Raw genomic sequence first — 10,705 nt, forward strand, 5'->3', positions numbered from 1 at the left:
TTGTTGCTACGTGAGAAAATAAATGTTTTACTGCTTAGGGTCCTCTATTATTTATAGCCAAAAACATCCTAAGTGATTTACCTCATATATCTGTAGGGTGTAAATCAAGTAATCCCTATAAAGTGTTCAGCACTGTGAAATGTTAACAATTATCATTAATATAATATTTTATTATGGAATTATATACTGCTTTCTTCTTTACTAATGTTGGGGCTGGGAAGCTGATATCCTACAATATGGCACTTTGACATGCTGAACTGAAGAAGCCTCAAGGTCTCCCTGTTCTCCTCCCCACCCCGCTGTCTTTCCCAAAACCTTTATCTGCCTGAGATCCCAAGAGAAACAATTGTTTCTCCTTCCGCTCCCTGTAAGACCAAGAATGTAACCACACCTTAACAGGCTTTTTCACAAGATAATGAACAAGTTAATCTTTGTTCACTGATCCATTCATTCACCTTAGTAATCCCCTCAACAGATCGCTCTTCTCTCTGCTACCATAACCTGTTTTGCCAGGATGGTATGTAGGCTTCTGAACCCCGCTGGGAGGTGGACAGTTGCTCTGTGATTCTCCCCATGTATACACGGTGAATAAATTGGTATGCCCTTCTATTAATCTGCATCTTGTCAGTGGTTTTTCAGCGAACCTTCAGAGGGCCGTAAGGAACATATACCTTGGTTCCTACACTAATATGTGTCCTATTTCTCCAAATACATGTGAGATTATTTTTGGCCAGAACCCAAGCTGCTGCTTTGATATCCCACTCAGCCGACAAGCAAAATGCATAGTTGATGTTTAATATTTATTTCATAATTAATCACCACATATATATTTTCCCTAAATATAACCCTGATGGACAATCCAATCCAGACCAGACGGTGCCTTTTTTTTTTTTTTTTTTTTGAGACGGAGTCTCGCTCTTTCACCCAGGCCGGACTGCAGTGGCGCTATCTCGGCTCACTGCAAGCTCCGCCTCCCGAGTTCACGCTGTTCTCCTGCCTCAGCGTCCCGAGTAGCTGGGACTGCAGGCGCCCGCCACCACGCCCGGCTAATTTTTTTGATTGTGTCCCCAAGAACGTTTTATTTTGCTACGGAGACGTGAATTCCAAGAGAATCAAAGTAGTTTGAAAAAGGGGAAAATGGCAGACCTTTCTTAAACTGGAAGCTGCCAGAATCACAGGCTATCACGGCTAGAAAGGACTTGGGAATCATTTGGGCCGTCCTCATTTTATAGTGGAGGCCCAAAGACTTCCTTAAAGACACAGCAAGATGCCAGGCTGGGACTCCTAACCCAAACCCTTTTCATTATTTTTCATAATTTCTCCAGAGTCAACGTTCCTCACAATCCGAATGAAAGGGAAGCCCTCTCCCCAGAGTCTGTTTGGGCTGCCGGGAATCTGTGGGAATCCGTGCATCTACTTCTTACCAAGGTCGCTCTGCAGAGCTACTGCCCGGGGCCAGGTGGCCTGGCACGAGATCTGAGATTCGGCATCCTTTGCTGAGTGCAAACATCAGCCCCTTATGCCTGAGGGGTCACTGAGGGCGTGGAGCTGGGAAGAGCCCTCTCCCTGTCCACACACTGATCAGCTCCTAGCATGGAGGTCTGGTGACAAGGATCATGAGCGACTCCACAGCCTCGTCTGTATCAGTGCTAAGGGGAGCGTGGCACTGACAGGCTGGGTGCGATCATCCATCCCTGGGTGAGATCTTACTCCATCTGTCCTAGGCTGGCTTTTCAGGGGGCCTACCTCCCACCTCCCAACCAGAATGCTCCTACACTCACCCGCTCCCCACCCCCAAGTTCTTGGCCTGTTCCACTTAAATTTCAATGCAAATGTCTACTGTTCCATAAGGATTTCCCTAACTTTCCGCCACCAAAATTAACCACATCATCCTCTATGTTCCCATTGCACTTTTTAAAAATAACCACCATTATAAAATTTAAAGATGATTTTAGTTTAGTCTTTTCTGCTAATCAGTCCTTTTCAAACTTTATATGCCTACAAATCAACTAGGGATTTGGTAAAATGCAAATTCAGATTCTGTAGCTGTGGGATGGGGCCTGGTATTCTACATTTCTAACAAATTCCCAGGTGATACTGGTAGCCTTGAAAGCTGCTATTACAAAGATACATAAAATATGTTACCTAGACTTAAAGAGTTCAAAACGTACTGTTTTTGTATTCCTTGAGGCTAGGTAACATATTTTATGTATCTTTGTAATGCCAGCTTTTAGCACAGGATCTGGCAGATTATAGTTGGTTAAGAAATATTCATTGAATTGCAGTGGAGTAGGTTAAGGTTTCTGGGGTGTTCCTTTTATACACAAATATGTAATTTCTTTTCTTTCATTATTTTATCTTTATTGTTATTATTTATTTATTTATTGAGACTGGGTTTCGGTGTCACCCAGGCTGGAGTGCAGTGGCAGGATCATGGCTGACTGCAGCCTTGAACTCCTAGACTTAAGGGATCCTCCTACCTCAGCCTCCCAGGACACAGGCTAGTGTAACCATGCCTGGCTAATTTTTAATTTGTTTTTTTGTAGAGATGGGGTTTTGCTTTTTTGTCCAGGCTGATCTCAAACTACTGGCTTCAAGCAATCCTCCCACTTCACACTCCCAAAGTGCTGGGATTACAGGCATGAGCCACTGCACCAGACCCATTTTATCTTTAATAACCTGGTAGTAATTTAAAATATGAAGAAAAGAGTCAAACTTTTTCACTTTGTGGGAGATTATACCATGATTGCCTCACACAAGCATGATCAAAGAACTTGATAAGACTGAATTCCAAAGGGCATGGCTGGTAAAAAGGCTTCATGGCTCACAGATTGAAGACTTTGGTTACAGAGTCTCTGAGGAGTAGCAGGCAGCAGAAGAGACAGGAAATTTAAGAGATCCTCAGAGAAGAGGTCACAATTATTAGGTCAGAAGCACCTTGAAGCATTTCTTTTTCTTTTCTTTTCTTTTTTTTTTTTTTTTGAGACGGAGTCACCCAGGCTGGAGTATAATGGTGCGATCTTGGCTCACTGCAACCTCTGCCTCCTGGTTTGGAGCAATTCTCCTGCCTCAGCCTCTCGAGTAGCCGGGATTACAGGTGTGCGCCACCATGGCCAGCTAACTTTTGTATTTTTAGTAGAGACGGGGTTTCACCATGTTGGCCAGGCTGGTCTTGAACTCCTGACCTCAAGTGATCCACCCACCTGAGCCTCTCAGGGTACTGGGATTACAGGCGTGAGCCACCGCGCCCAGCTGAAGCATTTCTTAATTTAATTGTGCTTCAGGGTCACGAGTATTTGTCACCTGGGGAGAATCCAGCAGAATGTGTTGAGCATGATTTTGGACTTCCAAGTAAAAAAATAAAACAAAACAATAAGGATGAGCTGAGCAAGTTTGTTGTCCCATAGGGTCAAATTTCTTCGGCATGTAGACCCAATCTCCCTGCTCATTAAGGTAATATGGAAAAACATGACCACACTTAAGCCAGAGGTTCCAATTCTGCCTGCAGCTGCATCTGCCAGACTGCCTCACACGTTTCCACATGTTTTGCAAGTATGTGATCTGAACAGTATTAGATACTGTTGTAGCTGAAATGGCAGAGAGAGGGGTGGGGATGTGGGGATCACAGAAGGCAGGATAAATTCTGAGCACGACCAAAATCTCAGCTTTACAGATCCAGAAACTCAAGTTTATCATTTGATTAGGATTCTGAAGGACTGACTGACACTAATATATAAACCAGAAGGCCTATTTATTCATTAACATTAAAGGAGCTATCTTTCCATGACTGAAATACTCATGCCTGCTTAGAAGAACCCCCATCCCCCATACACACCACCCACACATGCACACACACCATCCACACTTTCCTCTTCTCGTGCCCTGGGATTAGGGTTCCTAGGGACAACTTAATTAGTACCTCCTGGTGAACATTGACTCAACATATAGATAACTGGGTACATGCATAGGAAAAACACAGCAGGTAAAGGAAAAGCTAGACAAATTGTTCCTTCTCCAAAATGATTTCACTTCTGTAATAATTACTTTTTTTTCTCCCAAATAACATCTTTCTCTTTGGGCAATACTGGATAAAGTCAGATAAATTCTTACTTTTAAATATCTGTGTTTCTGGACTCCATATTGACCAGCCTCTTCCCTTCTGCCTTCAAAATAACTGGAGATTTGCTTAGAGCTTTTATCAATTGTGTTCTAGACTTCAGGATTTATACAAGCGAGCATTTGAATGGTAGGCATGTGGATGGCACTGGGTATCTCTTAGTGTAAGACACTTCTGCAGAGATGGTTGCTGTTCTTTGGTGCTGACTCTCCTTGTCCTCCAGTTCTGATCTCTACTCCTGACAATATCACTGAGAGGTTAGACAGTGTGGAACCGAAAATCAAGATCCAGCTCATAGACCTGCCTGAGTGCTCGGCTCTCCCGTGAGTTTGCGGGCTCCCTGGGAAGAAGGGCTCTCAAAAGACTGCAGTGACAGCCTTGGCCCACTTAACATTTGTGCCTTGTGCTGAGCTGGGTGGGGTGTTCTTGTGTTTCTTGTTAACAGTTGCTTTGTGACTGAGCATCTCAGAGTATATTTTATTACCAACTAACCCACTAACCATGTGACATCCAGTAAGTCACTTTTCTGTGGGCTTCAGCTTCTTCATCTGTAAAAGAAAAAGAGAAATTTGGAAGAAATTAGCTTTACTGGTCTCATCCAGTGCTAAGACTAACAAGGTATTTATTTATTTAATATATTTATTTTATATATACTTATACATTTAATATATTTAGCATATAATGTAATATAATACAATACATAGATTTAATATAAAAGGATTTATTTATTTAGGTTTTGGTGTTTTGTTTTGTTTTGTTTTTGAGATAGGGTCTTGCTCTGTCACCCAGGCTGGAGTGCAGTTACATAATAATAGTTCACTGCAGTCTTGAACTCAAATAATCCTTCCACCTCAGCCTCTTGAGTAGCTGGGACTATAGGCACACACCACCAAGCCTGGCTAGGTATTTATATTTACAACTTGCTTTAAAATACAATCTTTCGTGGAATCCCCATAATTCCTCATTTACGTATGAGGAGATTGAGTTTTAGAGAAGATAAACAACTTGTTATTGTTGTTGTTTTGAGATGGAATCTTGCTTAGTCGCCCAGGCTGGAGTGCAGTGGTGCGATCTTGGCTCACTGCAACCTCCACCTCCTGGGTTCAAGTGATTCTCCTGCCTCAGCTTCCTGAGTAGCTGAGATTACAAGTGCATACCACCACAGCTGGCTAATTTTTGTATTTTCAGTAGAGATGGAGTTTCACCATGTTGGACAGGCTGGTCTCAAACTCCTGACCTTAAGTGATCCTCCCACCTCGGCCTCCCAAAGTGCTGGGATTACAGGTGTGAGCCACTGCGCCTGGCCTAATAACTTGTTTTAAAACATCCACCTAGAAAATGGCCAAACCAGGTCTCAAACACAGTCAGGTTCCTCATTTTCTTAATTACTAACCCATAATGTATCCAGGGTCCTGGACCAGGAGGAATTCTAACTTCACCCACACCCTTGAGAGAGAAAGCGCAGCTTTCGGGCTTCCTTGAACCCCCTTCCTTGCTTCTGCCTTCTCAGAATCTGGACTGCTTTCAACCTCTTTGCGTTCTTTCTGACTTCTCCGTGTTCTCTCTCAGCCTTCTCTATCTCTCTTTTTCTCCTTCTCCTATGCCTCCCTCTCTTGGCCTGCTCCCTCCCTTGCCCTCCCTGTCCCCAGCTGAGTGCCAGCCTCTCCTGGTAAACTTTGCTGGCTTCTGCCGTTATAAAGATGTTGCCACACACTCCTGAGTGAATCTGTGCATCAGTGAGGGTGGGGAGATGGTGTCCAGGTGTGGCTTAATGGCCAAGTTGGTGGTTTCCAAGCACCGGTGAAGGACCGTCTGTACTGGAATCACCAGTGGTGGGAGAGGGGTGTGATTCATAATGCAGATTCCTGGGTTCCAGCCCATTAGGGTCAGGATGAAACTTGGTAATCTGTGTTTTTAAAAAGCTCCCCAAGATGACTCTGATGTGTAGCAATGCCCCCACTTTACTGTTGGGACTTATGCCCCCTAGAGACTATCCCTGAGGGGTAAGCCAGAGAGCAACGAAGTATCCACAGGCATACCTGGAGAGTTGTCTCAGGTAGAGGCCATGTGTGAAGGTTGTGGAACATCAGTTGGTAAGTTTGACCACTTGCTCCTTCCCCATCCTAGGTGTCAGTGGTACATCTGGCTCAATAGCAACAACTCCCCGCTCCTGCTACCTTTGGACGTGCAGAGTGACGTTAAGTCTTCATAGGGAGAAGGTGGTGAGTAGAAACATGTTGAAAAAGGCTTTTTAGGGACACAGATATGAAAAAAAGTGTTAGAAAACACTAGTTTATGCAAAAGGGTCTGTGTCTCTGGCTGAGAAGTTATAATTACACCAAGTGTTCCACATCTTTTCATTCTGCATCTCTGTGCCCAAAGACAAAGGAGTCAAGGTTTGAACTCTCATATCATAGTCTCTTCATCTTGTTAACTAAGAATGATCACATATGCCCTGATTCTGCAGTTGGAGTGAGCTCTCTTCTTTAATTGCATAGCTCTGGTCATTTTTTCCACTCATTTGGCACTTTGCACTTAGCAAGCAGTGACCTGGCATCGTTTGTATGTATCTGTTCTGTCTTCATAACTAGATTATAAAGCCTTTTACAGTAGAGGCTACATGATCATTTGATAGTTTACTCACTTATTCATCCATCAAACATTTATTCAGCACCTCCAGGCATGGGGCTAGATACTAAAGAGGCAAAGATGACAAGACATAGTCTCTGACTTTACAGACACCTCCGTAAATAAACAGTTATGAAATGGTGTAACCAGCGCAATGATACAGATATGTACAAGTTGCATAGAGAAGTATTCTCCCCAGCTGGGAGGACTCAGTGCTTAAGCTGAAACTTGAAGGAAAAAGGAAGAAGAGGAGTTCTCCAGAGAGAGATGGTGTAGGGGACAGAAAGATGATTCCAGGTTGAACTAGAAGCTTCTGATAAGCCTGGGGCAATGGCACATGTGGGAAGGGACTGGAAATGAGACCAGGCCAAAGCATAAGGATCCTTGAAGCTTATTCTAAAGACACGGACTTTATCTACAAGGCCATGAGATTCCACTGGATAACTTAAATTAGTCAATATTATGATTAGCTCTCAATTCCCAAAGCTCATCTATCTGTTATTTGGAAAGGAACAGATGAGTATTGGAACTTGATTAGACATGTTTCAATAACTCAGAGTTGATGATACCTGAACAAGGGCAGTGGGTGGGGATGGAGTGGAAAGAACTGCCTGGAAAGTTTACTTGTTGTAAACTTAAAGTACTTACTTATTTATTCTTATTTATTTACTTGTTTATTCTGTTTTCTGTTGCTATAATAGAGTATCACAGACTGGGTAATTTATAAAGAACAAAAGCATATTTGACTCACAGCTCTGGAGGCTGGGAAGTCCAAGAGCATGGCACCAGCATCTGGTGAGTGAGTTGCATTGCAGAAGGCATCACATGGTGAGTGAGTGCATGAGAGAGACAGAGAGGAAATTGGGCAGATAGAGGAAATTGGGCAGACAGAGGAAATTGGGCAGAACTCATTCTGTTTATGAGTGCTCACTAAGTATCCATTCCTGTGATAACGGAATTAATCCATTCTTGAGAGCAGAGCCATCATTACCTAATTACCCCTTAAAGGTCCCACCTTTTAATACTGTCACTGTGGCAATATTACATTCCAACATGAGTCTTGGAGTGGGTATTCAAATCACAGCAAAACTGCCTTTGAAAAAATTATAACAGTGAGAGAAATCTAACCTAACTGACTCCATCTTGCGTCTAGACTCACAGGCTGACTGTCCTTGCTCATTTCTGGGCATAGGCCAAGATAACTGTGGGAAGAATTTAGTTTATAGTTTAACTTTGAGGCAAGAAAGATAACAGTCCCTCCCTAAAACTGACTCCCTCCTTGTTTGGAGACTGAAACTACATTTGTTTTTCTTGTTTTTTTGTTTTTTGAGACAGAGTCTCACTCTGTAGCCCAGGCTAGACTGCAGTGGTGCAATCTCTGCTCACTGCAACCTCCGCCTCCTGGGTTCAGGTGATTCTCCTGCCTCAGCCTCCTGAGTAGCTGGGATTACAGGCATGCACCACCATCCTCAGCTAATTTTTGTATTTTTATTTTTATTTATTTTTATTATTTATTTATTTATTTATTTATTTATTTTTTATTGATCATTCTTGGGTGTTTCTCGCAGAGGGGGATTTGGCAGGATCGTAGGACAATAGTGGAGGGAAGGTCAGCAGATAAACAAGTGAACAAAGGTCTCTGGTTTTCCTAGGCAGAGGACCCTGCCACCTTCCGCAGTGTTTGTGTCCCTGGGTACTTGAGATTAGGGAGTGGTGATGACTCTTAACGAGCATGCTGCCTTCAAGCATCTGTTTAACAAAGCACATCTTGCACCGCCCTTAATCCATTTAACCCTGAGTGGACACAGCACATGTTTCAGAGAGCACAGGGTTGGGGGTAAGGTCATAGATCAACAGGATCCCAAGGCAGAAGAATTTTTCTTAGTACACAACAAAATGAAAAGTCTCCCATGTCTACTTCTTTCTACACAGACACAGCAACCATCCGATTTCTCAATCTTTTCCCCACCTTTCCCCCTTTTCTATTCCACAAAACCGCCATTGTCATCATGGCCCGTTCTCAATGAGCTGTTGGGTACACCTCCCAGACGGGGTGGTGGCCGGGCAGAGGGGCTCCTCACTTCCCAGTAGGGGCGGCCGGGCAGAGGCGCCCCTCACCTCCCAGACGGGGCGGCTGGCCGGGTGGGGGGCTGGCCCCCCCACCTCCCTCCCGGACGGGGCGGCTGGCCGGGCGGGGGTGCTCCTCACTTCTCAGACGGGGCGGCCGGGCAGAGACGCTCCTCACCTCCCAGACGGGGTCGCGGCCGGGCAGAGGTGCTCCTCACATCCCAGACGGGGCGGCGGGGCAGAGGCGCTCCTCACTTCCTAGATGGGATGGCGGCCGGGAAGAGGCGCTCCTCACTTCCTAGATGGGATGGCGGCGGGGCAGAGACGCTCCTCACTTTCCAGACTGGGCAGCCAGGCAGAGGGGTTCCTCACATCCCAGACGATGGGCGGCCAGGCAGAGACTCTCCTCACTTCCCAGACAGGGTGGCGGCTGGGCAGAGGCTGCAATCTCGGCACTTTGGGAGGCCAAGGCAGGCGGCTGGGAGGTGGAGGTTGAGGTTGTAGCGAGCCGAGATCACGCCACTGCACTCCAGCCTGGGCACCATTGAGCACTGAGTGAACGAGACTCCGTCTGCAATCCCGGCACCTTGGGAGGCCGAGGCTGGCGGATCACTCGTGGTCAGGAGCTGGAGACCAGCCCGGCCAACACAGCGAAACCCCATCTCCACCAAAAAAATACAAAAACCAGTCAGGCGTGGTGGCGCGCGCCTGCAATCGCGGGCACTTAGGAGGCTGAGGCAGGAGAATCAGGCAGGGAGGTTGCAGTGAGTCGAGATGGCAGCAGCACAGTCCAGCTTCGGCTTGGCATCAGAGGGAGACCGTGGAAAGAGAGGGAGAGGGAGACCGTGGGGAGAGGGGGAGGGAGAGGGAGAGGGAGAGGGAGACAATTTTTGTATTTTTAATAGAGACAGGGTTTCACCATGTTGGCCAGGCTGGTCTTGGAGTCTGGACCTTAAGTGATCCACCCACCACGGCCTCCCAAAATGTTGGGATTACAGGCGTGAGCCACCGTACCCAGCCTGAAACTACCTTTGTAAGGCTAATGAAAGGCCACAAGATTAGGTGATCATGGCTCCCTGCAGCCTTGACCTCCTGGGCTAAAGGGATCTTCCTGCCTCAGCCTCCAGAACAGCTGAGGCTACAGGTGCACACCACTGCACCCAGCTAATTTTAAAAGAATTTTTTTGTTTTTTTTTTAATTGGTAGAAATGAGGTCTCACCATGTTGCCCAGGCTGGTCTCGAACTCCTGGGCTCAAGCAATCCTCCCACCTCAGCCTCCCAAAATGCTGGAATTACAGGCATGAGTCACTGTGTCTAGCCAAATTTCTAGTGTTTATAAGACACAAGTTTATAGTATTTTGTTACAGCAGCCTGAACAGACTAGTACAGGAGTGAGGTAAGGAAGGGAGTAATGGGGTCAAGGGTTTGTGGGAGGAGAGGCAAGAGGGGGACCTCTAGCATAGTCTCTGAGAATGGCAGACGCCCAAGGATTATGCTGGACAATATGCTTATTTCATTGTTTGTCAACGGTTAGCTGATTACCAATGAACCAGAGCAGAAGACCAGACGGAAACCATGACACCCACCCAACCATAGGTTTGGGCCTCCTCCAAAACCATTTCCTTTCTGTATGTGGATTCAGTGGGCTGGATAGAGAATATAACTAAGCCTTAGGAGGCCCCCTCCACATTCTAGAGACTGAGGTGGCCCTGAGTGAATGGTCATTCCTGAGCCTTTTGCTTCTGCCTTTGATCAGACCTACTTTCAGTTCAATGGGAGGCTTCGAGGGTCATCTGTACCCAGGGCTGTCTTTCTTCTTCTATGGACTTTATCATGCACAACTTGTCTCCAGAGCCTTAATATGCAATGCCCCTGTCCAGTATCCACCACGC

The 10,705-nt window shown here is 45.7% G+C and overlaps 1 annotated feature.

The window, feature by feature from the left end:
- Positions 8,809-9,389: an enhancer, noted in NCBI's record as "H3K27ac hESC enhancer chr1:182408935-182409515 (GRCh37/hg19 assembly coordinates)". NCBI's record gives its function as "activates a minimal SCP1, AML or CMV promoter by ChIP-STARR-seq in primed H9 embryonic stem cells {active_cell/tissue: H9 hESC(primed)}" and the evidence as "EXISTENCE:reporter gene assay evidence [ECO:0000049][PMID:30033119]".

This window comes from Homo sapiens, chromosome 1 (assembly GCF_000001405.40).
Source record: "Homo sapiens chromosome 1, GRCh38.p14 Primary Assembly".
NCBI classification, from domain to species: domain Eukaryota; kingdom Metazoa; phylum Chordata; class Mammalia; order Primates; family Hominidae; genus Homo; species Homo sapiens.